General features: G+C 49.7%; 1 protein-coding gene across 50 annotated transcripts in view, besides 5 other annotated features; it reads left to right on the top strand.

Moving 5' to 3' along the window:
* Positions 1–27147, top strand: part of HDAC4 (histone deacetylase 4) — a 353482-nt gene that overhangs the window by 152264 nt on the left and 174071 nt on the right. For 41 of the 50 annotated variants that reach the window (NR_198957.1, NR_198958.1, NR_198959.1 and 38 more), the window contains one exon: positions 12722–12793. The exons of 7 other annotated variants lie outside the window; for them this stretch is intronic. Coding sequence is in view for 38 of the 43 variants with exons in the window: in XM_047446483.1 (XP_047302439.1) it covers positions 12722–12793 (72 nt within the window). In the remaining 5 variants the exon portion in view is untranslated. Of the gene's footprint in view, positions 1–12721; positions 13380–19018; positions 23959–27147 lie in introns of those variants that run through there. 2 more of the 50 variants (NR_026664.2, XM_011512227.3) reach the window with 2 other exon arrangements.
* Positions 1076–2275: an enhancer, noted in NCBI's record as "MED14-independent group 3 enhancer chr2:240168807-240170006 (GRCh37/hg19 assembly coordinates)". NCBI's record gives its function as "activates an origin of replication core promoter dependent on BRD2, BRD4, P300/CBP and CDK7 cofactors, and independent of MED14, by STARR-seq in HCT116 cells {active_cell/tissue: HCT116}" and the evidence as "EXISTENCE:reporter gene assay evidence [ECO:0000049][PMID:35650434]".
* Positions 4818–5515: an enhancer, noted in NCBI's record as "H3K4me1 hESC enhancer chr2:240165567-240166264 (GRCh37/hg19 assembly coordinates)". NCBI's record gives its function as "activates a minimal SCP1, AML or CMV promoter by ChIP-STARR-seq in naive H9 embryonic stem cells {active_cell/tissue: H9 hESC(naive)}" and the evidence as "EXISTENCE:reporter gene assay evidence [ECO:0000049][PMID:30033119]".
* Positions 17088–17627: an enhancer, noted in NCBI's record as "H3K4me1 hESC enhancer chr2:240153455-240153994 (GRCh37/hg19 assembly coordinates)". NCBI's record gives its function as "activates a minimal SCP1, AML or CMV promoter by ChIP-STARR-seq in naive H9 embryonic stem cells {active_cell/tissue: H9 hESC(naive)}" and the evidence as "EXISTENCE:reporter gene assay evidence [ECO:0000049][PMID:30033119]".
* Positions 18371–18871: an enhancer, noted in NCBI's record as "H3K4me1 hESC enhancer chr2:240152211-240152711 (GRCh37/hg19 assembly coordinates)". NCBI's record gives its function as "activates a minimal SCP1, AML or CMV promoter by ChIP-STARR-seq in primed H9 embryonic stem cells {active_cell/tissue: H9 hESC(primed)}" and the evidence as "EXISTENCE:reporter gene assay evidence [ECO:0000049][PMID:30033119]".
* Positions 23374–24268: an enhancer, noted in NCBI's record as "H3K27ac-H3K4me1 hESC enhancer chr2:240146814-240147708 (GRCh37/hg19 assembly coordinates)". NCBI's record gives its function as "activates a minimal SCP1, AML or CMV promoter by ChIP-STARR-seq in primed H9 embryonic stem cells {active_cell/tissue: H9 hESC(primed)}" and the evidence as "EXISTENCE:reporter gene assay evidence [ECO:0000049][PMID:30033119]".

Genomic DNA, 27147 nt, shown 5'->3' with positions numbered 1-27147 from the left:
TCCTGATGGATCCCTTTCCCCATCTCTCCCAGCTCTCTCTCCGCCTCCCCCGCCTTCCGCAGCCCCTCCCCGCCCTGGGCGACACTCCGCATGGTGGCTGAAGTCGGAATGGAAGGTCCTTACCATGGCCTTCGGACCTGCAGCCGTGTCTCCTCTGTCTGCCCCGTGGGAACCCCCAGGCTTGTTCCCCTCCCAGGCCTTGCCCTTGCTGTTCCCTCCACCTCGTGTGTACCTCGTTGGGATCGTTGATCCCACATGTCCTTCAGGTGTCGGCTCAAATGCCACCACCTCACAGGGCCCTCTCAGGTCACTTTGTCTAAAAGAACAGTCCCTGCCGTGTTCCGCCTGCGTGATTGTTATTCCAGCACGTGATCCCACACGGTCTTCTAATTTACGTGTCATCACCTCTTCAGCAGTGGAAGTTTGGGGTGCAGGGACTTACAACACTGTGTCCCCAAAATTGTGGCCATCACTTAATCGCTAGTTCAGGAAAACTTGAATGAATGAGCCAGTGATGGGATGTTGACCTTGAGGCTTGAATGAGTCCGTGTGGAGAGGCAGAACAGCAGAGTGGGGGTCAGTTTGCTTTTGAAAGTTGGTCCCAACCTTGATCAGGATGGTCTTTATCATCTCCCTGGCTTCTTTAAAATGGGGACAATAACAGTATCTGTGCCAGTTATTTCTCTGGTGAGAACCATGAGTACTACTTCTGTGAATGAAACCCAGAGATAAGTGCCTGACCATCGTCAGCTCCTGCTAGGAGTTACTTAGCTGTTATTGTTTCTCATTTAGAATGTAAGCAGGATGTTATGTTTAGTTCTAGCAAGATATGGCAACAATAGTTTAGAAAATGAAATACATTTTCAGTGAATTGAGGCAAATATTGTCCTAAAAAGCGCTAGAGGTGGCCGGGCTCTGCAGCTCATGCCTGTAATCCCAGCACTTTGGGAGGTTGAGGCTGCGGATCATGAGGTCAGGAGATTGACACCATCCTGGCTAACACGGTGAAACCCCATCCCTACTAAAAATACAAAAAAATTAGCCAGGCGTGGTGGCCGGCGCCTGTAGTCCCAGCTATTCGGGAGGCTGAGGCAGGAGAATTGCTTGAACCCGGGAGGCGGAGGTTGCAGTGAGCCGAGATCACGCCACTGCACTTCAGCCTGGGTGACAGAGCGAGACTCCATCTCAAAAAAAAAAAAAAGTGCAAGAGGAGTAAGTCTTTCAACCCAAGGGGCGTGTTGGCTGAAGCACCTTGGAGCAGACTTTTGCTGGGTGAAGCCACCGGCCTGTCACTTGGGTAGCTGCTGGCAGGGTCAGCCTGACTCGCACAGAACATCACCGAGTGTTATGGGCGCTGGGGGAGCCCCAGCCTCACTCTCTCCCCATCTCACTGGCCACTGACCACAGATTGGTCACTTCCGAAATGCTGCCTTAAACTTGGCATCAAAGGATCCTTTTTCTGCACAGAGAATGAGCGGTGCTTTCAGGTCTGGTTTGGTGAGAGGAGGAGAGGGTGTGGTCCACTGTGGTCAGCGCCCTCCGTTCTCCACCTCGCTCCAGGGAGGGATCTCTGCTTTGATGCTCCCAGCCGCGCAGTTAATGTGCCTGCCTAGACTTTCCGCAAATGGCCACTTTGAGTTTATTGTTCTAAATTAGTGACTCATTTTTCGTGAGCTACTTATTAACATGCACCTATTTTCCAGCTTCCTGCCACCTAACCACAAGCACCTTTAGCGAGTTTGTGATGTTCAGCAGTGTGGAAAATATTCTGGGAGAATGGTTCGTCTGTATAGTGGTTTTCGTTGCTGAGTCACGTTTGGTGAGCAGCTTGTTCGGCTCAGATGCCCTGGCGTGGAGGGCACGGGCCCCGGCTGCGGCACTGAAGCAAAGGTGAAGCGGGAGGAGCAAAGGGAGTCTCTCGCCCCGCACGTACTGTGTGCCTCGTTCTTTATCTGTGTTCGTTTATTCACTCCTCATGTCAGCCTCGTCTCCACTCGACAGGGGGGATATTCCACCCCAAACCCTGCAGGACTGCCTCCCACACGGGTTCTACGTCCAGGTGGAGGGTAGATGCGGGTAGGAATTGTATAATATTTGTTAGAATTCTCGGGAGTGAAAAGGTGTTAGTTTAGAAAGTAGGATGCCTGCGGGGAAACAGAAGTGGTGGGTACAGCATGAAAAAGTGGGCCTTTTGGTTTGCCCGGCTGTGCGGGTGGCCCGGCAGCGAGGGAGCGCGGTTATCCACGAGCAGACCGCAGAGCTAGTCTCCAGCCATTGCCGATAGCTGCATCACCTTTCATCATTAACTGAAGGGAACCTATCCAGAAAACTATTTTACATTAGCTGTGGAGATGCTATTTGTGTGTTTTGCAGCGTTCCTATTTGACGTCTGTTGTGTGTGACTCCTCCCACTGGCTCTGGTGAAACTGCACACGGTGCATGCCAGGTGATCCTCCTCGCACGCTCCCAGCGCTGTACAGCACAGCTGTGCAGTGACGCACCCACATGTGCCCTCGCCACTGGGCAGTGGACATCCTCTCAGGAGCAGAGATGGTGCTGTTTTCAAAGGCAGGCGAGGACATTTTCTCCTGATTTGCTAAATCACTTATGAACGCTTCAGCTGGCCTGTGCCACTTGGTAGGTAGGGGTAGCTGAGAGCTGTCTCTCCGTGTTGTCTTACTTAGGGAGGAAGCAGCCTGGCCATGCCAGGCCCTGCAGAACCGTCTAGGAGAGGCCCTGAGACACTCCCTCCAGGAAACGCTGTTCTCCGGCCCTTAGAGCACAGAGCAGGGCCCTGCGGAGCAGGAAGAGCGGCTTGCTTTCACTCCTGCCGGCGCCGTGGCCATCACCTGCTCAGCCAGCGCCTGGCCGGCCCCCGCCCACACACCTGGCTCTATGCTCGGTGCCAGGACCTGTGGCAACAGGACAGCCCCATTCAGCCCCCGGGCAGCCCCTTTTCCACACTGATTCCTGACACTGCTCCTCGCGTCCTGTGGCCTGCAGCAACCCCGGTGCTTCTCCGGCTGCCACGCCTCCTGGGTGCATGGATGGTTTCTCCGACGGGGGAGGGGAAGGGGCGAGGTGCTGTGTTTCCACTGCCACATTTTCCCTGGGAAAATCCCCGAGTAACCTGCTGTTCCCTTTCCCCCGTGGCTCACTCCTGCCCGCGTTTGCCTCCCCACCGGGCTCTGCCTGCCTGCTGAGTCTGCGTGTCCAGCGGGCTCAGTTTGCACGTTTTGTCCCTATCACCCGACTAAGCCACAGGTGTTAGCAAGCCTGGCCTGGCACGTGAGAGCAGCTGGACACCCCCCTGCAGTCTCCTCTGCCCTGTGTCTGGGCAGGTGCTGGCACCAGGCAGACCCCATGGCGGGACTGGACGCAGGCAGCCAGTGTGGGTTGCCGGTTCTGCTGGGCCGGGGCCAGGCCTCTGCGTTGCTCACTCTCACGTTCCCAGACGCTCAGGGCCTGCTCGCTGAGCTGTGAACCAGACGTGTGTGTCTGCTTGAACACATAGGGGCTGGGGATGAACTGAAGACTGTTGGGATATTCGTGAAGGAACAAGTTAGGTAGATCACCCAGCAGATGCTCAGGAAAGACATATTGAATAGAAGGTGGGGGCAGGCTCGTCTTTATTCCTGGCATCTCTTGAAAAATTGTTATGAAAAGTTTCAAAGATATATGAAAGGAAAGAGACCAGTGCATAGAGCGAGTGCCCACAGCCACCTCCCGCCAGGAAATCCCTGAGGCTCTCCATCGTGACCACTTCATCTCTCCACACCTTTATTTTCTGGAGAATTTAAAACCGATCTCAGAGGCCACAGCACCATCCCTTAAATACTTGAATGTGTGTTTCTAACAGATCCAACCCCATTATCACACTCAGCAGAAGGAATCATGATTCCTACATATCATCTTATACCCAAACGATGTTTAATTTTTACTGGTTGTCTTAAAAACTGTCTTTTTACAGCCAGTTGTTCAAATCCAGACCAAAACATCGGGACTGGTGGGCATATCTGAAATTTCCCCTGCCCACTCTCCGCCTCACTGAGTCCTTTGTCCTGGGATTTTCTGTTTCAGGGCTTGACTGATCATAGCCAATCCAGTGTCCTTTAGCAGGTTCTGCCAAACCCGTACTTCCTGTAAGCCGGCAGCTACAGCTAGTTTTGATTCTTAGTGGAGAGACAACAGGAATACTTCTTAGGTTATCCTTGACATTTTAAGACTGCCTGATTACCCTGAAGGAAAAATATTGCTTAGGGAAAGAATCTTTTTCCATTTTCATTTTCTCTAATAAATGCACATAAACTATGTTGGACATGCCTGAGGAATTCACAGCACTTACTCATTAAAGTTTAATTTCTATTAATGGGCAGATGCAAGCACTGTTATGGAACTTTGGTAATTTTCAGTAACCTGCGCAGTGGGGAAAAGCAGAATCTAGTGGCCTGGGATGCTCGAGGCTATAAGCAGAGCTCCCAGGGAGGGCCGGTTGGGTGGGCACAAGTTTATGGAGCATCAAGCCTATGCCTAGTATCTGCCAGGCCCAGGGGTAGTGCCAGGGTGTGGGCCGCACAGTGGAGGGAGGATGGGCTGCTGGGGTCACTCAGCAAAGCAGGAGGCTGAGCTGGGAGGAGGCCAGCGCAGGTGCAGGTCCTGCTTGAGGTGGCAGATGGAGACCCCTCTGGGGGTTCAGGTCAGGGGAAGGACCTAGGGGGAATTTGAGTATTTGGCTGACCTTGTAGATCATTTTGTTTCCAAGCCATGACATTTCAGCCCACTGAACTTCCTTTTATAATTTAATTGAACAAGGGCATCAGAGTGCCAGTAAAATTCTACTACCTCTGGTCACACAGGTTAGAGGCCTGAGGGGATGGCATGATGGCCCCAAACCCAAATAGATACCCACTTCATTCCACATTGACTCACACGCCGTGTGGAGGGAAGGTTTGCATGTGAGTGTGCACCGCACCACGCCCTCCAGGAGGTGCAGGTCTTGGTGGGCCACATGGGCCCTCGCGCAGCGCTTTCTCACAGACACCTGCCAGTTTGGTGCAGGCCAAGAGGCTGTTTTCCTCATGGCCAATCCTCCCAGCAGAAGGAGTTTTCCGTCCCTCCTTATTCAGGCAAAAGACAAGTCCTTTTGCCCCAGACACGAGAACCAAGTGGTTTCTTTTGTCTTTGCTTTAAGGCTAAGCTCTTTCTTTAAACCATGGGAACTCTGCCGTTGCCCATGAAGTTCGGTTTGAAGGTATCGGGGCTTCTCTGGTCTGACGTCAGCCCTTGCTTAGGTGTTCACGCAGCTCAGTCCCTGGAGTCCCAGTGAGGCCCTGGGACAAACCCCAGTTGAAGCACATTCTATAAAATACCCAAGCAGGATTGCTTAAAGCTGTCAAGGTGGTCAAAAACAAGGAAGGTCTGAGATACTGTTGCAGCCAAGAGAGGCAGGACCCTGGATGGGCGCTAGGACAGAAAATGGGCACCAGGGAAAAACGGAGGAAATCTGAATCAAGTCCGGGCTTTTTCTGTCATGACACCTAAGCACAGCATCCTGATGGAAGGTGTTAGTTGTAGGGCATGGAGGGTGCAGAGTACAGGAATGGAAGATGTTAGTTGTAGGGCATGGAGGGTGCAGAGTATAGGATAAGTCTCTACTAGCTTTAATTTTTCTATAAACTCACAGCTGTTCTAAAACAACACCTTTGTTTGAAAAATATGAAAGGATGGGGAGATTGGCTGCAATGAAGACTGTGTCGTTACTGTTTCCCAGTAGCCCTAAGCTTCCGTTCCCGTGTCTGAAAAGCAGCTCTGTTAGCACAGTGGGGTGTGCACAGTGAGGTGTGACCTATACTACTCTTGAGTCACAGCGGTTTCATTGTTTTTGTCTATGTCAGCAACCCCCCACCAAACACACTTTAGAATGTTAATTTATCCAGCCGGGAGCGGTGGCTCACGCCTGTAATCCCAGCACTTTGGGAGGCCGAGGCAGGCGGATCACAAGGTCAGGAGATCGAGACCATCCTGGCTAACATGGTGAAACCCCGTCTCTACTAAAAATACAAAATACTAGCTGGGCTTGGTGGCGGGTGCCTGTAGTCTCACCTATTCGGGAGGCTGAGGCAGGAGAATGGCGTGAACCTGGGAGGCGGAGCTTGCAGTGAGCTGAGATCCAGCCACTGCAGTCCAGCCTGGGCAACAGAGCGAGACAATGTCTCAAAAAAAAAAAAAAAGGAATGTTAATTTATCCAATTCTCATTTTATGCTCATAACGAAATATTGAAGTGAGGTGCTAAGGTGAAATGTGGGACTGAGGTCTCCAAGTCTTCAGAATCAAGCGTGGAAAAGAGTTTAGGTGTAGCTTGTGTGGAGCTCTTGCTGCCTTCCTGTTCCCAAAAACCCCCTGGGCCTGACCACGCTGGTTTGTCACAGGAATGCAAAGTTAGTTTGACATGAGAAAAAAAAGTTTACTACGTTATCAGATGGAAGGGGAAATTATTTAATAAGCTGAATTGATGCAGAAAAGTTTAATACAGTTAAGCAAACATGTGATTTAAAAATATGTCTTGGCAAACTAGGAGTAGATGGGAACTTCCTTAATCTGATAGTTACCTGTTGGACACCTGCAGCAAGCAATACACTTTCCAGTAAAACATTGAAATATCCTTCGTAAGATCAGAAACAAGACCAAAGTGTCTTTTATCACCATTTCTCTTTAGTTACTGTACTGTAGGACTGAGCCAGCAGAATAAAGAAGAAGAAAAGGTGTGAGGTCTGGAAGGTGGAAACAACTGTCATTATTTGTACGTGACCTGATTCTATATGTAGAAAATACACGATAACTACAGAAAAATGATTGAAATTAATATTCTACGATACAGAACCAATAAGTAAAAATTAATTGTGTTTCCATATGCAAGCAAACAGAAATTGATAATGGAAATCAAATATCAAATACCTAGTAATAAATCTAAAGATGTTCAAGACCGCAACACTGAAAATTCTGAAACATTTCTGAGAGAAATGAAAGGAGGTAATAGCCCATGTTCATGGATTGAAAGATGCAGTACTGTAAAGATTATCTTCTCTCAAAATGACAGATGCAGTGCAATCCCAGGCACTGTTCGTTTCCCTCCCTCCCTCCCTCCCTCCCTCCCTTCCCCTCCTTCCTCTCTCGTCCTCTCTCTTTCTCTCCCTCTTTCTCTCTCTCTCTTTCTTTCTCTTTTCTTTCTTTCTCTTTCTTTCTTTCTTTCTCTTTCTCCTTCTTTCTTTCTTTCTTTTTTTCTCCTTCCTTCCTTCCTTCCTTCCTTCTCTTTCTTTCTTTTTCTCTTTTCTTTTCTTTTGGTGGAACTTGTCAAGTTAATTTTAAAATTTATGTGGCGGAGTAAAAGGCCAATTTTGCCCAAGATGATCTGGAAGAAAAAAGTAGGGTTTTTTGCCTTGCCAATATTAAGAGTTATTGTACAGTTATGGTGGTTAAGACAGTGTGATTATTGGCAAAACCAAAAACAAGTTGGCCAACAGGATTGAGATTTGGCTTATAAGGGAACTAATGTTGCCCATCCATGGTGAAAGATAAGACCTCTTAATAACACTGAGGGGACATTTGGCTGTTATCATAGGAAAACATACCCCAAACCCCTGTCTCATAGCGTATACAAACATCAGTGCCAGTAGATGAGAGACTTACATATAAAAGGGAACACTGCAAAGTTTCAGGGTAAAAATATGTTAAAATATCTCTGCAGCCTCCAGGAAGAGAAGAGTTTCTTGAACCTGACATAAAAGCAGAAGCTTTGAAAGATTGAGAAATAGGACCTTTGAGAGGATATCTGCAGCATTTAATTGACAGAGGATTAATGTTCAGAATTTGTAAAGAATTCCTCTGAATCAATAAGAAAAAGACAACCCAACTGGGGGCAAAAAACAGGTCAAAAAGACATGAATCCAAAACAGCCAGTGAAAAAGCCAATAAACATGTAAGAAGATGGTCAGTGTCATTGGTCATCTGGGAAAGACAAATGAAACCTTCAAGAGACACCCTTTCACCCCAACCTGGGCAGGACTAGGTGTTCCCAGGCAGGTCCCAAGGGTGGAAACCACACTTTCTCCCCACTCCCTTCCCCTCCCAGTTCAGGAGCCTGTGCGTGGGGCTTTCATGTACTTTCTTTATTGGCTCAAGAAACCTCCTTTCTTGTGTGTCGGTATTGTGATGTGAAACCCTTGGTGGAGGGCACTGGTCTTGGTGGGTACCTGTTTGCTCAAGGTCCAGCTTCAGACAAGCCGCTGGTTTAATTGAGACAGAACTGGATTCCGGCTGGTGCTCACTCCGTGATCCTAGGAAACTGCACAGCCCTTGAGGCCATTTCCCCAAGTGTGAAGTGGGGGGCCTGGGCCCTCCGGGTGAAAGTGAGGTTCCTTTGGCTCCAGAAGGCCGGGTTTCTGGTTAGACATACCTACCCGTCTGATGCAAGGTGGATTCTGAAAAGCAAAAGCACTGTCTGTCTTAGTCCTGTTCCTCCCATGGGCGGACTCCGAGTCTCAAACAATGCTCAGTTCAGGCTGGGTCCTGTCGGCGCGAAAGGGACTCCTGGCAAGAGTGATGTGGTCACTGCAGTTGACTGTGGGTGCATTGAGCACACTGGGGCACATCATGTGCTGGTGAGGACACGAGGTACCCGTGCTCCTCGGCCTCCCTCTCAGTGTGCATCTGGTCTGCAGCCCCAGCGCTGATTAAATGCTGTTTGAGGACACTCAGTACGATCGTCCCTGTCCAGCAGGGTTTCCAAAAATAGATTCTCAAGCGGAGACAGATAAGGGGGAACCTGCTTGCAGCAGGCGTGTGATGAGGAAGTGGTACTTTGCTTCCCATCTTCATTATTTTCCTGCTTGTAAACGCTGGGTTCTTAGCACCGCTTTCTCCTCAGCCTGAGAAATTTCAGCCCAGAGGCAGATAAATATGGAAATTCCACCTCTCATCACTAATTTCATTTTAACTCACTCTGGAATATGATATCTGAAAAAACACAGCGTTAAGAATCTATTCTGTGCACATTCACGGATGCCGTCATGCGTTCCAGCTGGCTGTGTACCGCAGCTTGTCTATTTCACCCTGGTGACAGACGTTCTTTGCCCCACTGGCCACGCTTTGTTTAGGTCCGTTCCAAAGCTGTCTTTCCCAGGCCTGGTGGCCCCTGCGCCTGCAAAGTGCACTCACCGCCACTGCTTTACCCCCAGGATTGTGTTCCACCAGCCACCTCTGGCAAAACGCCTTTAGTGTTTGGCTTCTCGATCATGGCTGCTGCCCTGAGCCCCAGCCTTTCATAATGAGGGATGCGGCATCTGTCATGCTGTCCAGGTGGACGACCAAGGACGGCTCAGGCCGGGATCTTGTCTTAAAGAGACTGTGGCCGTGCTTCCAGCTGGCTGGGGCTCACGGGGCCTCCACATGTGGGGTTAGCGTCCGGCACTGAGACCCATGTCTGTGCCGCCGCCTCCAAGGCCGCCTGTGCTTGAGACACTCCTGCTGTTTTCTGATAGTTCCACATGGCTGCCCTGTTCCGCGAGAGGCAGGCACTTCCTATTAACCCAGTGCCGCCTCAGAACAGCTTTCCCTTCGAGCATTTCCATGTCATTCTACAAAGATGTGAACATGGCAGTGTTGGGGGTTTGAATGTACAGGTTGTTATGAGACTAGCCAGGCCCAGTGGCACACAACGAGAACAAGCAGCATCTCTGTGTGGTGGAAGAATAAGCCTTATCTGGTCTTTGTCCTCGTTCCTGGCAGGGAGCTCTTAGGATCCCAGGAGCTTCCTGAGTGTCCAGCGAGCCTTTCGTTATTCCTAAGGAGGAGCTTCTTATGTGCTTCTGAGTTTATGCTAATGAAGTGACTTAGGGCAGGACCCCTGGATAGCCTCGGGATGGGGCCAGTCACCAGGACGCAGAGACGAGAGGAGCAGCATGTTCAGCCGCACCTGCTGACCCCAGTGGTACTGACACAGAGGCTCCTGCACTCAGGACCCCTCCAGACCCTGCCTTCATGTTACTGTTTATTTGCATCTTTTACAATAAACCCATCAACATGGTAAAGTGTTTTTCTGAGTTTTGTGAGCCCTTCTAGCAAATTACAGAACCTGAGAGGGGCTTGTGGGAACTCCTGATTTATAGCCGATCTTTAGAAGTCCAGGAGGCCCAGGACTTGTGTCTGAAATGGGGGCAGCCTTGTGGACCTGAGCCCCTGTGGCGTGTGTGCTAGCTCTGGGCAGTTATTGTCAGAGTGGAACTGGATCATTGGACGCCCAGTTGGTGCCAGTTGGCTGGTGTCAGAAACCACCCCACCCGCCAGTATACAGGATTGGACATGTTAAGGTCAAGGTCTGGTTTACGCAGGGAATCCACATGCTGTTATCGAACGGCATTCTCCTTGGTGTGCCAGCTAGTGCAAGCATGCAATAAATGTCTTCTTGAAGGGTAGGTGGGACGCGGACCAGCCCAGTGCCCAGAAATGTAGGTGAGCCAAGACCCACTAAGCTGCACCTTGATCTGAAACACACGAGTGATGCTTGTGGATACAGGAACACCACGTATCGTGACTTACAAGTCAAATCGGTTGCACTGAGATCTGATGTGTCTTCCTGCTTCAGTGTAGTAAAAGTAACTTGTAATTAGGCCTCATGTATGAACTCGGTGCTGGAGGGATCCGCCTTTTGGGCTCAGGCATAAGCAGTTCACTTCCAAACTCAAGAAAGGGCTTCATGTGAGCTGGGACTCTGGCCCCACCGCTGCTGCTCACCACTGGGGGCTTCTTGGTTTCCAAACTTTCTGGTTCTAGGGCTTTTGCTGAGGTGGAAGCTAAGGTTGGGCGTTGAGCTGACTACAGGGGAGGCAGTTCTGGGGGACAGGCATTGGCTCGTAGGAACTGTTGCAGAACCCTGACCAGGGTGGTCCCCCCAAGCCCCCTCCTCTTGACCCCTTCCCATTGGAAAACTGCAGCTACATTGAGATCTTCAAAAGGGCCTTCTGCTGTTTCTGAAAGTATTTATAGTGGGATTTGGGTTAAATACACACACACATATAAACATACATACATACAGGCACCTTTTCGAATTTTTTATTTTTTGTCTACAATGAGCATTTATTTATTTTTATTTATTATAAAAATGAATACAAATATATTTATTTTTAGGGGAAAAAAAGGCTTGAAAAGTACTTTCCACCACTATCTGGGGTCTCTTTCTGAGTTGCAGTGAAGGTTCTCTTGAGACATGGCATCATGTTTACAATTCAGCATCCAGGCCATCTCCTAAGGTGGCCATGTTCTTTGAGAAAGCCCTGGAATGTGTGAAGACTTGGGGCGATTGCTCAGGTCTGGTGGTTGCTTCTAAGGTGTAACTATGACCTGCCGGTCTTTCTCCTGACCCAGGGAAGCAGAACTGTTTTGCCTCCGAATATGCCCAGTGTCTTACTGTCTTTACTTCTGTTTTCAAACCTTAAGAGTTGCCGAGACTTGGGAGGAGCTGCTGGTTGGTTGGAGAGGTCCCCGTGGTTTTTTGTTGTTGTCTTCATTTTGATTTTTATTTCTGGCACCCACGTTTGATCTCTGCATTGCCCAAGAGCAGCCTCACCTGCTGAGCTCCTGCAGGTCCATGTTGGCCTCACACTTTCCCAGTTCTAACTTCAAGAGCATGCCCTCCAATCTCCTGGGACCCTTGTTTCCGTTCTTGAATATTGAACATCTCCAAGGACATGCACGGGTTGGCAATGCTAGGAATTATCTATTTTGGATAAAAAAATGGGTTTTTTTTTTTTTGCAGTCATTTGACCTGATGTTAGTCGTTTTTGTCCTGTTTTAAAACTTGTATCTACAGAGTTCCATGGCTGCCCTGCGAAACTGGTGCTCTCCTTCGCTTAGTAAGGAAAATGACCTCCGCGTGCAAGTCTGTAATGATATGCATATTATTGCAGGGCATTTTACACCACTTGTCAGAAGCTAATTTTAAAAGAAAAGTGTGATTCCTGGAAATCTTGCCAGAGTTTTCTTTCCTTTCTGCTTGGGAGAATATAGAAAAATCCCAGGCGGTCTAAATCCAGCCTGTGCCAGGTTTAGGTGGTGGGTGGGTTCCAGTCTCATCTTTGCAGTGAGTCTGAATAGATGGAAACCGCTCCATAATACAGTCTAAAAATGGATTTAAAAGAAAGGACTCTATACCTTGAGAACACCTGGTGAAGCGTTCTCCTCCATGCCTATTTGCAGCTAGAGTGGCCTCAGCTTGCCTCCTTCCCTGTCTGCACACCTGGCGGGTTCCGAGGGCTCCCTGTGCTGTGTTTCTGTGAGCGTCCAGACCGTTTGTCACTATCTGAGAAGAGGAAGAGCTGCTCTTCTCTTTTTGTTATCTTAATGCTTGTGGTCTGCAGAAGAGCCGACTTCTGATCAGCACGAGTGGGTATAATGTGGTTGCTGAACAGAAGTAAACCCAAATTGCTAAGCCAGTGGCTCTTAGGCCAGAAACGGGCGTTTGCCATATCTCAGTAGGAGGCTATTTTGATTATTCTACATTGGCAAATACAAATAATCTATGATGAAGCTGAAAGTGTCCCCCTGTAAAAGTAGGAAGGACACATGCATTTCATTGTTTGGGGAGTTACTCCCTGCAGACTCCCAGCATAAAGTATGTTGGCTGAAATGCGCGCAGTTTCTGAAGCCAGTGCCTTCTCTGTTCTCCAGATGGACTTTCTGGCCGAGACCAGCCAGTGGAGCTGCTGAATCCTGCCCGCGTGAACCACATGCCCAGCACGGGTAAGTCCGCCCACCCCTGCCCTGTCCGGCCGGCCCTGCGCTGAGCCAAAGAGGTGTTCAGACGCTCTGCCTTATTGGAGGAGTGCAGAGAGGGCGAGGGGGGAGGTGTGGGGTATCAGGTTCACTGAATTTGGGTGCTCTTCCTGGTGGTAAAAGAGGCCATCCTTTTTGGAAATGAAATGGCTCCGTGCCATGTAAATGGTAGAGAAATGCTGATTTTTTGTTGTTTTTTTTCTCTCTGGTGCTAAAGGATGTGTTCTTCCCAAAGGCACCAACTGCCTGGCTTAGGTGTAACCCCTGGCCCTGATCCCCGTGAGGGCCTGTAGGAAAGACCTCTGAGCTTGCAGTGGGCGGGGCTGGGTCCCACTGGCCACGTGACCGTGGACAGACCGCGCCTTTTCCATTGCCACCAGCTTTTGTTGGTTAAATGAGTCAGTGGCATCATCTGTCTTCCAAGTACCTTTCAGCTCTTTAACAAAAAAAAGTATCGGTGGTGATCAGAAATATTTCATTCCATAGGTAATTTTTAGTTATTTATGCATTTGTCTATTTGGAGACGGAATCTCACTCTGTCGCCCAGGCTGGAGTGGAGTGGCGTAATCTTGGCTCACTGCAACCTCCACCTCCCGGGTTCAAGCGATTCTCCTGCCTCAGTCTCCCCAAGTAGCTGGGATTACAGGTGTGTGCCACCACACCTGGCTAATTTTGCATTTTTAGTAGAGACGGGGTTTTACCATGTTGGCCAGGCTGGTCTTGAACTCCTGAGCTCAAGTAATCTGCCTGCCTCGGCCTCCCAAAGTGCTGGAATTACAGGCGTGAGCCACCGCGCCCAGCCCCATAGGTAACATTTTAAGGTACTCCAAGTCTATAGGCCATGGAAACAGACTTTTTCCCCCTTTTCTTTGTCTGTAAAACCCGTTTCCACATAGAATCCTCCAGGGTTTAAACTCCTTGTGAGGGTACCATTCTTCCCAGCCATGCAGCCTCTCCGAGAATAAAACCTGAACCTCCTGATGGCGTGGGGCTGAGGGAACCAGTGTTCCGTTCCACATGCGTCCTGCAGGGCAGTGTGGCTGGGCCTTGCAGGGACTGCGTCCCGAGGCCTGGGTCTCTGGTTTTGGCTCTGCTGCACCTTCCTTGACAGTCAGCCTTTGCTGCCGCCTGTGCCCTCCGGTGCCCCAGTTAGACCCACTCATCACCCCGAAAGGAAGTTGAAGCCAGCTTGAAGCCAGGCTGAACGTTTCCAAGAAGAGATTTCCTTCTTTGCCTTGTGATTCTTCCAAGTCGGCCAGGTTTTCTGTCATTTTCCAAACCCGGAGTTCTGGAGGTGTCTTTGCCCTGCTCCGGGAAGGCTCTCTGTGTCTGTGGGGTACGGTCCCCTGGCCTCTTGGGGGGTGTTCGGGGGGCTCCTTTCTGTCTGTTTTTTACACCTTGATTTTACTCTGCATTATTACTGATCAAGCAGTTTATTTTTTACCCCAGCACACTGGAGCCTGGGGGAGCGGTGGGGAGCTTTAAGTACCAGATGAAGATGCACAATTTTAAAATTTTGGCTTATGTCGACAGTTTTGGTTTTCACTTTCTCTCAAGTTCACTTTGCCGGTGTTGTTTTCGTGTAAACACTGAATTCTGTGGCTGGGGCATTTTTGAGACAACTTGCTTGTGCTTAACCAGGCGTGGCACGAGGGTAAGAGGATTTTCTGATAGCTTGATGGGCTGGGAAAAGATGGTAAATATGCATAGTTTCCAAGTGAACCAAAAAAGGTGGGCTTCAAATTAATATTCTGGCTTGGGAAGCGCACCCTGCCTGTCGAGACCTGCCATGGGATCCCTGCCTGGTGTGAGGACAGGCCGGGGCTTCAGCCTCCCACAGAGGGCACCTGGGGCCCGCCTCTGCTGCCTGTTTGCGTGGGAGCTTAGGCGAGTTGCTGAATAGCTCAGTTTTGTTTTCTCATTTCTTAGCCGGGGATGATAATGCCTCTCTACAGAGTTCTCATAAAGATGAAAGATATGTGTCAGCTTTTTAGTAGTTCCTCAATAAATGTCATCTCAGTGTCCCGTTGACTAGTACTGAGGAATGTGTGTGATGTAGCCTTTATATCCCCGTTCAAGGCCTGGACCTCTCCTGCAGCCTGTCACCCTCATTCTCTTCCTTTGGGGTGAGCCGCCGGACTTGAGAAGTGGCATGTTGGGAAGGCTGCCCCATGACGCTGGCCATTTACCTCCCTTGTCATCAGGTTCCCATTGGTCTGAGTCAGAGAGAGTGCCGTGTCTCCTGGCATTTATTGCATATTCAGGCATGGGTTGGTGGGCGTGGTGGGAGTGTTTGCAGGGTAATTTTAAATAACGTAGCAGCGATGCCCAGGAACAGTGGGCAGAGAAAGCATGCATGCATGTGCAGCAGTCCTGTATGACATCCATCATTGAGCCTGCACAGTGGCCTGTGCCTTAGAAGCCTCTAATGTGAAGCGTGTTCTTTCAAACTGCATTTTGGTCATTTCAACCCACTGAAAAATACTGCAAAGAAATATTAATCTCAGGTTAGGTGATAACTGGAAAATTGATAGGAAAATGTCTTTAAAGCCACATTTTTATGGTATGGGAGTATAAACATTTTTAGGTATATGTTATGTCAGTCCTCAATTGCTGTTATACATTTCCTAATGATTGAATTTAATCTTAACTATTCTTTAGACATTTTGATGTTTGAAGGTGTGGAAACAGACTGATACACACACACACTCAATTGTCAGGAATGACTCCAGCAGTCACTGTGAGAGCTCGCTCCCTTTGAACAGATGAGTGTGTACTTGGAGCAGGAAGGGCGCCCGGGCAGCCCTCCCCACTGTTGATCTGTCCTGTTTCCTGACCATTCCCTCGTGTGAATGCCGTTATGTTCAACACAGGTCTTTTTCTGATTATGGTTCTTTTTCAATACACTTAGTCCTAATAAATTCCCACTTCCAACAGAAAAGCATTATTCATACCATGTATTCGTGTGCCATCTTGAGATTTTAGAAACGTCAGGTGAGCATATCATGTGCTTTGGGAAAGTCTATACAGGTTGAGTATCTCTTATCTGTAATGCTTGGAAGCAGAAGTGTTTTGGATTTTGGGTTTGTTTTTTTTTTTTTCGGATTTTGGAATATTTGCATTATTCTTACTGGTTGAGCATCCTAAGTGTAAAAATTCAAAATCAGAAATGCCCCAATGAGCATTGCCTTTGAGTGTCACCGTGAAAAAGTTTTGGATTTGGAGGCATTTTGGATTTTGGTTTTTGGGTTTGGGATATTGTCAGCTGTACTGGAGGAGGAAAAAGCCAAAATGCCATTTGTCTTAGATCAACTTTGATTTCTTCAACTTCCCTCATAACTTTTTATCTGTAGACTTTGTTCTCTTTCTTTTTTAAAATGTTTTAAAAATTTTAATTGTAAAGTAGCTCTATCATAAAAGAAAACACATAACCATTTGCCTACCACTAAGATATAACAGACATGTTGTTAGTATTATTCCATCTTTGCCTCCTATTTCTTTGCGTTTTGAATAAGTGGAATGTCACAGTTGTGGACGTGGCTTTGCTCTTCCCCCTTCCTGGGAGTTGTTGTCTGCTTGCTGAGGGGAAGGGCCACCCTTGGCTTGGTGAGGGAAGGGCCACCCTTGGCTTGCTGAGGGGAAGGGCCACCCTTGGCTTGGTGAGGGAAGGGCCACCCTTGGCTTGGTGAGGGGAAGGGCCACCCTTGGCTTGGTGAGGGAAGGGCCACCCTTGGCTTGGTGAGGGAAGGGCCACCCTTGGCTTGGTGAGGGGAAGGGCCGCCCTTGGCTTGGAGAGGGAAGGGCCACCTTGGCTTGGTGAGGGGAAGGGCCACCCTTGGCTTGGTGAGGGAAGGGCCACCCTTGGCTTGGTGAGGGGAAGGGCCACCCTTGGCTTGGTGAGGGGAAGGGCCACCCTTGGCTTGGTGAGGGGAAGGGCCACCCTTGGCTTGGTGAGGGGAAGGGCCACCCTTGGCTTGGTGAGGGAAGGGCCACCCTTGGCTTGGTGAGGGGAAGGGCCACCCTTGGAGGAGACTTGACACCGAGGCAGATCCCAGGCGGAGACATGGTGGCAGGGTGGGGTGGGGGCGGGAGCTCGTGACCCCCGGTTCTCTGCCAGAGCCTTGTGTTTTCCCATGGAGTGAGCAAACAGAGCCATTGACTGAGTTAGGCTGGGGAGATGTTGCAGTTTGAGGACAGAGGAGAAGGTATGGAATTAGTCAGCCAGGAGAGACCAGCAAAATGTCATACAGGATTATAAACCCAACTATGCCCAAGGGCTGAATTACGGGGAACTTAAAAACTATTACTACTCAGTCATTTGTTTCAGATTCATTGTAGCTAAAACTCCTCCCCTTCCTGATTATAAAAGCAATGTATGTTTATTGTAGAAAAAAATCACTAAAGTGGTGGGTGTTGGGTTCCAAGGCTGGAGGTCGAGCTGGCTTCCAGCCAGGCCTTGCAGGCGCTCAGCAGCCTCGATTGAGGAGAGGGGTGCTTCGGGGAGGACGCCTACCTCAGGCATCCGGGAGCAGGTGCTCAGCAGCCTCGATTGAGGACAGGGGCGCTTCGGGGAGGACGCCTACCTCAGGCATCCGGGAGCAGGTGCTCAGCAGCCTCGATTGAGGAGAGGGGCGCTTCGGGGAGGACACCTACCTCAGGCATCCGGGAGCAGGTGCTCAGCAACCTCGGTTGAGGACAGGGGCGCTTCGGGGAGGACGCCTACCTCAGGCATCCGGGAGCAGGTGCTCAGCAGCCTCGGTTGAGGACAGGGGCGCTTCGGGGAGGACACCTACCTCAGGCATCCGGGAGCAGGTGCTCAGCAACCTCGGTTGAGGACAGGGGCGCTTTGGGGAGGACGCCTACCTCAGGCATCCGGGAGCAGGTGCTCAGCAGCCTCGGTTGAGGAGAGGGGTGCTTCGGGGAGGACACCTACCTCAGGCATCCGGGAGCAAACCGGAGGCAAACAAAAAAAGTCAGTAGCAACAGGAAGTGTGGATGAAGGACTTACTGTTAAACAGACGGCATGCTGAGGGCTTACGGCCCTCATGGCGCTGCTCTCCACCGTGACCGAGTGCCCTGGCTCCTGTGCCCCCCACTGCTCCTACAGAAGGAAAGCCAGAGCCTCAGATCCCGTGGCCGCTGTCCCAGGGTCGCTCAGCATATACATTACAGGGCAGGACACATGACTGCCCTGAGGGCTGTGCTACTGGGGAGAAAGACATCCTCAGAAAATGCGATGCCCTTCCATCGGCCAAAAGGGGAAGTAGAGGCCGATGTTAAGACCGGGATGCTGGACTAAAGAGAAGCACGTTCCACGGTTTCCTGAGGCATAGGGGTGGCGGTTTCATCACCCTCTGTACCTGTGTCCTGGGAAACGTGTATCTGTCAGAGTTAGGGAGGCTCTTTTTAAGGTTATGTTTCAAAAGCACCATTTTTAAAAGAAAACTCTGGAACCTTAAAGGGGATTAACTAGAAACTGTAGAGAAACTCTCCAAAATAACGCAAAATTCACGTTTGGCTTCAGCGTTGGATTCCCACATCTAAGGGGTGTTTGACCAGCACACTGTCAAAGGAGCTGTATTTCCAGACACTGCTCTTACATTTTGGAACAGGAAGTATTTGAGGTTGGCTGGTGCCTGGAGCTCATGCTGCCTCCTAGATGTGTTTTGTGGCGGTTGTTGCATTGTTTCGTTTGGTGAGAAGAAAGTGGAATCTGGTACAAATCTGCAAGGACGTGTGACCTCAGGGGAAGCTTCGAAAGTCTCCCTTTATTGGCACCGGAAGCTGTTAATTACCTTCATACACAGAGCCCGTGGTAACAAAGTCCTTGGTTGTAATATTCCTGCGTGGTGCCCCTTTGTGAGTTTTCATCATAAAGCTGGCATTTCTGGGGTTTGGATAGGGTCCAGTGAAGGACCCACGGCCATCTCTGGTGGTTCCTCGAGTGGCCCCCACGGAAGGACTGGGCAGGAGTGGCAGGAAGAAGAGAGGCCGTGGCGGCCTCGTCCTGGCGGCGCCTGCCGTGACTGCTTGGGTTATTTTCCTCCGATCAGGGAAGTGTCTTTGAGGAATCAATGCCCTCCGGCCCACGGACTCGGCAGCTTGCCAGCCACGGGCAAGGATTGGCCAGGACGGTCATGTCCGCCACGGAACATGTCACCTGCTTTGCTTTTTTTTTTTTTTTTTTTTTTGCTTGCTTGCTTTGTTTTAATTTTTAGAGGTAAAATGAAGTGTAGAATGTAAAGACATCAAAGTAAAACTGTTTGTGTAAACCAAAAATAAAATTCTAAGTCCCCCAACCCAATGAATGGACCCCCTTCTTGACCAAGGGGTCCCAAAGAAACTTGAAAAATGAGTTCAGGCCCTGATGGGAATGGGGGGTTGGACAGGCCTCCTTAGACGCCCCCTCCTTTTGGCGTTCAGGCCCAGCTGACCAGCGTTAACATCAAAACAGCGATCTCACGACTGATAAAACAGACACAGCAGTAAGATTCCCGGTTCCACCCTGACTCTGGGATAGCAGCAGGCGACAGAGAGCAGGCCCTGCAGGAAATAAAAGTATTTTACCCCAGAATATATTCCTTCCACCTATTTTGAGTGGCTATAGAAAACTGCCTCTTGGGGGGGAAATTTGCATTCTGGAGAGAATCCCATGCCCTTTCCAGGTCTCTTTTTCCTGATCCAGGAGAGATTTAACTACAAGTCACCTTTTAAAGTCCCATAGGAGACATTTACCATCTATTCTCTCTGAAGCCTGCTTCCTGGAGGCCTCATCCACATAACGAGAATCTCCGCTTATCTTAACTCAAACATTTTTTTATGCTGACATCAACTCTTCAGTCAGAAAACCTTTCAGTCTGCCTAGGATCTGTGAGGTCCTCACCCTACTTCTTCAAGATGTTCTGGGCCAAACCAATATATACCTTACATGTGTTGCCTGTAATTTCTGTCTCCCTAAAACGCATAAAGCCAACCTGTAACGTGACAACCTCAGGCACAGACTTCCTGAGGCTGTGTCCTGGGCCATGGTCACTCGTATTTGGCTTAAAATAAACCTCTTCAACTATTTTACAGAGTTTGGCCTTTTTCGTCAACATTTGAAAAATCTGAAAAGAATTCCCATGGTTTGATTCTCTTAGTTCAAACTAATGTTGAGAGTTTGTTGACTGCCCTCCATCAAGTTAACCTGAGGGCCGGTATGAATAGCCATGACTCAAAGGCCAGACGCAGGAGTCTGCCCCCCACATGGCTTTAGAAGCTGACTGCAATATAGCGTTACTCCTGGAGGCCATGTGTGTGTCGTGTACAATTATGAGCAATTTAGAAATGCTTTAAGAGTCACTTTTGGCAATTAGGCGAATTGGCCCCATTACTTTATTCATTTTATTTTTATTTTTATTTATTTTTTGAGACATAGAGTCTCACTGTGTTGACTGGAGTGCAGGGCTGGAGTGCAGTGGCAGGATCTCGGCTCACTGCCACCTCTGCCTCCCAGGTTCAAGCGATTCTCCTGCCTCAGCCTCCTGAATAGCTGGGATTACAGGCGCCCGCCACCACGCCCGGCTAGTTTTTGTATTTTTAGTAGAGACGAGGTTTCACCACATTGGCCAGGCTGGTCTCGAACTCCTGACCTCAAGTGATCTGCCTACCTCAGCCTCCCAAAGTGCTGGGATTACAGGTGTGAACGACTGTGCCCAGCCCTTGTTACTTTATAGTAGAGAATAGTTTTGGACCAGAAGCTGCGCCCTCCTGCTTGGTCACTACCTTGTTCACTAGATGTGGTGTCGAGTAATCCTCAAGTTCCAATTCCCCTTCGATGGCTGAAGGCATATTACCTCTTAAGAATTTCAAAAGGTGTTATTTTTCAAGGTCTGTTCATACCCATGCCCCCTTCTCCAGTCCTTCCCAATATCTCATCCCTATCCGCCCCTAAACCTTCAGATCGTTCTGTTTTTCTCTGATGCTGTTTGCTTTTTGCCACCTGGAGACAAGTCACTTCTGATTTCTGCTCTCCTTCCCCTCAGATCTGTGAACTCCCATGAGCAGTAACATCAGGTTTCTCTGGAAACACTGCGGGGCCAAGAACACCACCTTTCACGTGGCGTACACAGCCTGTATTTGCACCCCATTCACTTTCCTCCTAACTCTCACAGTGACAGCTCCCTCCTGCCATCCCGTTCCGGCTCAGTATTGACAGAGGCCAGTGAAGGATCAGGTCCTGGGCTCAGCTGAGTTGCTCCAAGGCCTGGGAGCCTGGCAGACATGGGGGCAGCACAGTCTTCCTGTCTCCCTTTGGCCACATGGCCTCCAGCAGGCTGCTCCTCACCTGGTGTCCCGGGGCTGCTTGGTCCTGGGCCAGGGCGCAGGCAGCAAGGGCAAGTGTCTGGCGTAGCGTCTGGCACACAGGAGGGGTCTGTGTTCTCTTGCACTCTTGCTTCCTGGTGCCCTCTGGTGTGCCTGGCCCCAGGTTCGTGGCTCTGCCCTTCCTGCAGCTCAACCACCGTCCCTTCCACCTTCCCATCCCTTTGTGGCAATGTCCCTAGGAGCAACTGTCTCAAGTGAAACCCAGCCCAGCTGATGCTGGGAAGCATAACAACAGGAGGGCTTGAATTGCGTTGAAAATGTGTCTTGAGAAGATGCCTGGTGGATGGAAGCAGCTGGGAGACCTAGCAGAGGGCCCGGGCCACCCTGCAGTGGCAGCTGCTGGACCTGCAGTCCGCTGGACCTGATCTGCAGGGCGATGACTCTCGTGAAGCTGCTGAGTCAGTCACATTTGCCTTCAGAGGGCCCTTCTGGCTTTTAATGGTGTTAGCCCTCTGAGGCTTGCTTGCTCATTTCACCGGGCAGAGACTATGTTCCTCCGCACCCGAGGCATGCCCTCCTGTCCTGGAACTCCAGGGCTGCCTCCCGCTCCTTCCGCTTGTCTTTGGAGGGCCTGTCTTCCCTTCTCTCTGTCTGCATTTCCCCAAGGTGCTTGTCTGTCTGTCCAGGCTCTGCCTTCTGTGATGACAGTCTTCCTGGCCTTTCTGGTGAGCACGGTATCTGCCATCTGTAGCAGAGGGCACTGAGGCTGGCGGGACCTGCAGGGGCATGCAGGGTGCTGGCCGCTGGGGGCTGCCCGGTCCCACTTGGCATGGTGTCCAGCAGGCTGCTTAGCCCCTGTGACCTCACTGGGAGGGCCCAATGCTGCCTGCCCTGCCCCCATGCTGGGGCAGGAAGACCAGGACACCTCACGTGTAGCTGGCCAGCTTCCACTGGTCCGCAGTTTTCAGTGCTGTTCCATCTCCCTCTCCAGAGGGTAGTAGTCCCTGGGCTCTGCCAGCCACGTGGGGTAAGCGGTGGTTGGGGCCCTGCATTCCCTGAGCAGATATTTCATTCTCCTTCACCTCCAGTCCTGGTCCCACCAGCCCCTGTGCCCCGGAGGGCTGTGTGACCGAGACTGGTCTGCCCCTCCCTTGGCCCACCCTGGCTGATGGGTCAGCTTTGCTGTCTCTGATACCTTATTCACCCAGATCCTTTCTGACTTCCAGCATTTTGTGGCTGCTCTCTCATCTCCTGTGTGTGTGTTGTGTTGGTGTGTCTTTCTAAACAATCCACACACTGTTTCAGCAGAATCTTGGAGGGATCCTGACAACGTGATTGTGTTCACTCTGTTATTTTTGACCAGAAATGCCCTGTGGCTCTGAAATGCCACCCTGTGGCTGGCAGGTGGGACCGTGCCTCCCCACGCGGCCCAGGACACTGCTGCCTGCCAGCCCCACCCGTGAGCCTGCCGGCCTCACTTTCCAACTGGTTCTTTCCCTGTCCGCAGTGCCTGAGGCAGAAAGATAGAAAGTTTCTCCATCCTGGGTGGACATTAGATTGTTTGGGTTATCTACATTTATCACCCCCCCCATTACATGTTACATTGTTGTTGTTGCTGTCGACCCAAAGATTTCTGAAGAGCTTACTGTCTGCCCTTAGCAAGGAACATGGGTGGTAAGAAAGCAGACGGTTATTGGTTGGGGCGTCGTGGAGAATTGGGGGTGCTGTCTGAGAAATATCCTCTGGGTGCTTCTAAAACCGTCCACACATCCACAGCAAATCTGGATGGGGTGGAGCTGGTGACTGGTTGTTTCTCTACTTTAGAGGGAGAGAGAAAGCTATGTGGCAGTCCCAGCAGTGCCCCTCAACCGTGTTGATACAGAATACAGAGAAATCTCACTGAGTATCTCTCAGGGAGGATTCCACAGTTCTAAGTGATGATTGGTTGGAAGAAAGGATTTTTTTTTTCCACTGAGAATTTGGTTTGGTTTGTGTATTCGGAGTGTCACTGGTGGCCAAAAGTATTATCCAGGAATGAATTTTTGCATCATGACATCATTTCTGGTTAAAGGGCTTTTTATCTTTTTTCTTTTATTACCAGCTTTGTGTGCTTTAAGGCTGTGGACTGTAAAATGTATCCAGAGGGCCTGCGGAGCCCCTCAGTGGCATCTGGAAGCCTGTGCCGCCAGGACGAGGGAGATGGCTCTTTGCCGACCCTTGTCTGTGTTAGGGTGTCGCGGTGCAGCTGAAAGGGAGTTCCTTCTCAGCAGCCACATTTGACCCTAATGTCATGTTTTCGCCGTACCAACACCATGTCCCCTACCAGAGGAACCTGCCCATCTTTTAAGGAAGGTTTCCATTTCTGGACCTCACAGCAAGATGCACACACTGTCACACGTGATGCAGAACCAAACTCAGGCCCTCTGTGTTTCCAATGAGGGGCTCCGAGGGGCCATCAGAGCCAGGTGTCTGACCAGGTGAGGGAGGACTGGAGGTGTCCCTTGGGTAGCAGTACGTGGCCACGGGCGAGGGGAAGAAATTGAAGGCGGTTTAGTCAGGCGCCTGAGGAAGGGGCTGGCACTTCTTTCAGTTCTACAGCACCCAGCCCTGCGTGGGCCTTCCTGGGCGGGCCTGCCCTCCCCTGCCGACCTGCCTTCCCCGCCTTCCTGGCTTCCCTCTCCTGCTCTTGAGCCCAGCCAGGCTCCACCCCTCCATCCAGGTGTTTCTCATCCCCCCCTGGGGTGGGGGCACCCTGCAGGTGGTGGGAGTCCAGCTATGCTTTACTCTCCCGCAGACCGACTTCTGCCTTCGTGGATCTGCTCTTGTGGGTGTGTTCTCTGTTTTATTAATTCCTGTTTTAATAGCTGTTCTCCTTTCTCTGCATTTATTCGGATATGCTTGTTCTTTTAGGTTGAACATTTCACTTGTTAATTTTTAGCCCTTCTTCCTTTCGGATGGAGGCATTCAGGGTTCTGTGCTGTGCTTCCCTTGGGGTTCAAATGGGGCTGCTTTGGATAAGTTCTAATTTGTATTATTTAATTTGTAAAGCATATTACATTAACACTTCATAAAGTCTTGGTGTTTCTCAAGAGAGTTATTTTGAAATTTGCTTTTTGGTTCCTTTTTTATTTGAAAAAATGAAATATTTAGAAGTGTTTTTTGTTTCCCGAAAGTCTGAATTTTCCAAGTCATCTTTTTTGTTATTCATTTCTAATTTACTCCATTATGGTTAGAAATTACCCAGCTGTTGAATTTTACTGAGACTTGCTTTGTGGTCAATTTTTATGAATCTTTAATATATGTGTGAGAAGATTTTGAATTCTCTAGTAATTGGGTGCTGGATTCTAAATATGCTCATTAATTCCAGCTTATTGATTGTAAATTACCTACAATATTAGAACATGTGAGAGGCGAGAATCGCTGTGGAGGAGAGTGAGCAGTCAAGGACTGGGGATTCAGGAGGGTGGATTTCTGCGTTCAACTCATTCATTCATTCACTCATTCATATTGATTGGGCCTTCTAATGCCATCCCCTGCCCTTGGCATATGGAATACATGTATTTATGATTGACACAGAGACCCCTATTTCATGGTACTCATGTTACCCTGGGAGGAAGAGAGGAAACTAGTAAAGGCAATGAGTAAACAGTAGAGCAGGGAAGGCAGAGCAGGGCTCGGGAGTGGAGGGGCTGCGATTTTACACCCGCTGGTGAGGGCAGGCCTCCTTAGAAGGTGAGCAGACATTTGCAGGCCGAAGACCTGGTCAGGAGAAGAGGGAGTGGGCGGTGCGGGAGACATAAAAGGCCGGGTTAATCAATTAGGCATGGCTTTGAGTGACATGGAGGCTCCTGGAGGTTCTGAGCAGAGAAGCGACACCACGTGACGTATGCCACAGAGAATGCAGTGGCCACGTGGGACAGGCATCGGAGGAGCAGGGAGACCCACCAGGGTCTGGGAGCAACCCAGGCAGTGGATGGGGCTCAGTCCGGGTAGGTGGAGTGGGAATGTAGAAAATGGTACAAATTCTAGAGATATCTGACGTAGATGGGATTTCCTTAGCCTGCAGATGGGCTGTGCAGGAAACAGAAGAGTCGAGGGTGACCTCAGGATTTTTGGCTTTAAGCACTGCTGATGGAGTTGCATGAATTCATGGGGAATGTGGGTGGAGCAGACCCTGCGCTGGGATGAGGATTAGTATGGATCTGTGCAGTGCTTTCAAAGGCACCCAGTTTGGAACACTGAGTGGTAGGCGTTGGCGAGCCTGCGCTGAACGTGGGAGGGGCCTGCGCTGGGCATTCATAGCAGAAAGATACATGGACATGAACTCTCCCGGGCAGTGGATCTCCTCCGTGCAAGGTCCACAAAGTAGACTTTGTTTCTTTTCCCTTTTTTTTTTTTTTAAACAATGTTTGCTTAGTGCTGGCATGCATCTTCTACCAAATCCTACTTTGTAAAGTGTTCCTGCTGGCAAGAGAGTTACTGGCTCCGGGATCTTTGCTGGGCAGAGAGTGTGAGCGCACAGCCTCCACAGCCAGCAGCAAGGTCCTGCTCAAAGTGGGACTCGTGGTTGCTCCTAATTACAGCAATGATGAGGACACTGATGGCCACAGGTCCCCTTACCAAGGCCACCCATCTGTCACTCAGCTACGTACCGTGTGTTCATTGGCATTTAATGCCCCTGGGGACATCACACAGTAGTTACTGGTTCAGGAACTGAGGCTGGGAGGCGTAAGTCACTTTTTATCAAGCTGCCCAGGTGATTTTTCTGGACAGAAGTCTGAACCAGCCCCCTGCCTTCTGCATTTCCACCTGCCTGCTGGATTATTCCACCCCCAGTGACCCGCAGCGCCCTTGAAAGATGCTGCAGCCCACGCCGGTCTCCAGAAAGCCCCGGCGGAATGTACGTTGCTGCCTGGAAGAGGCCGGCTCGCCCCAGAGAGAGGGGCTACCTCCTTCAGGCCTCGTCCTTGGTGCCCTCTCTTCTTCTCCAATGGTTTCTATTTTTAAATATTTCAACTGTTACTGTTAAGTAATAGTGGTTCCTACTTCGGCCCAGCTGTTAGGTGAAACACATAACCAAACGTTTGGAGGTTGCTAAGAAGGAAATTCTGAAATGCGTTCTTATGTAAACTTGATCTTACGTAACTGAGAAGGCAAGAGCAACTGCAGTGGGATTTGTAGGCTTCCTAGACCACTGAAACTATTTTTAATTTTCAGACAATATATTTTTATCCATTGGGTTTAGGGTATTTGGATAGCTTTCAGGAGTAACGTGTAACTTGTGCTGGTGTGAGCAGGCTGGAGAGATGGGCTGCAGTGGTTTCAGGGAGGTGGTGGTGTTCCAGGAGGTGTGGCCAGTTTTGAATCCAGGTGACAATGCTTACTGGCTGCATCTCCCGTCTGTGATACCCAGGTCCCCGCTGGGACCTGCTTCAGGGGGCTGTGAGGACGAAAGGAGATCACAAAGCAAAAATACTTTAAATTCGTGCTCAGTCCTGAAACATTAGTTTTTTGTTATTGTTTCTATTCAATTGCTTTTGCATTGGAATTGTAGAGTCTTAGAAAGATTTTCCAGGAATGCTTTGTCCATAACGTGATTGTAGCAGCATCTCAGACGGATGGTTCTGTCTGTTATTTCTGGGGGTCATGCTTGTCTTTCATGGCTGCGCTTCTGTATGAGAACTTAAAGCACATTTCACCATTTTTTTTTTTTTTTTTTTTGGTATGGGGTAAGGCCTGGTTCTATTTATAGTTTCCAGGAAGTACATTTGTGCACTTCTTGAAAGCCAACTTACCAACTGCATGCCAGGTTTTTATTTTCAGCTCTTGCTCAATTTGAGCTTGCAAATATTTCCAAAAGATGTTTTTTTCTTCCTGGGGATATAGAACAAATTAGAAACATTAAAAGGATTTTCTAAAGAGCTTTAAGGATAGTTCTGAAATAGGGAGCAGGGAAAAAATCTAACACTTGCGTTTTCATTAAATTGTGGAACAGAAGCACACAGATGGTCTTGCTC

This window comes from Homo sapiens, chromosome 2, assembly GCF_000001405.40.
Source record: "Homo sapiens chromosome 2, GRCh38.p14 Primary Assembly".
NCBI lineage: Eukaryota > Metazoa > Chordata > Mammalia > Primates > Hominidae > Homo > Homo sapiens.
Note: the sequence above shows the minus strand (reverse complement) of the source record. Positions and strands in the feature narration are given on the sequence as shown.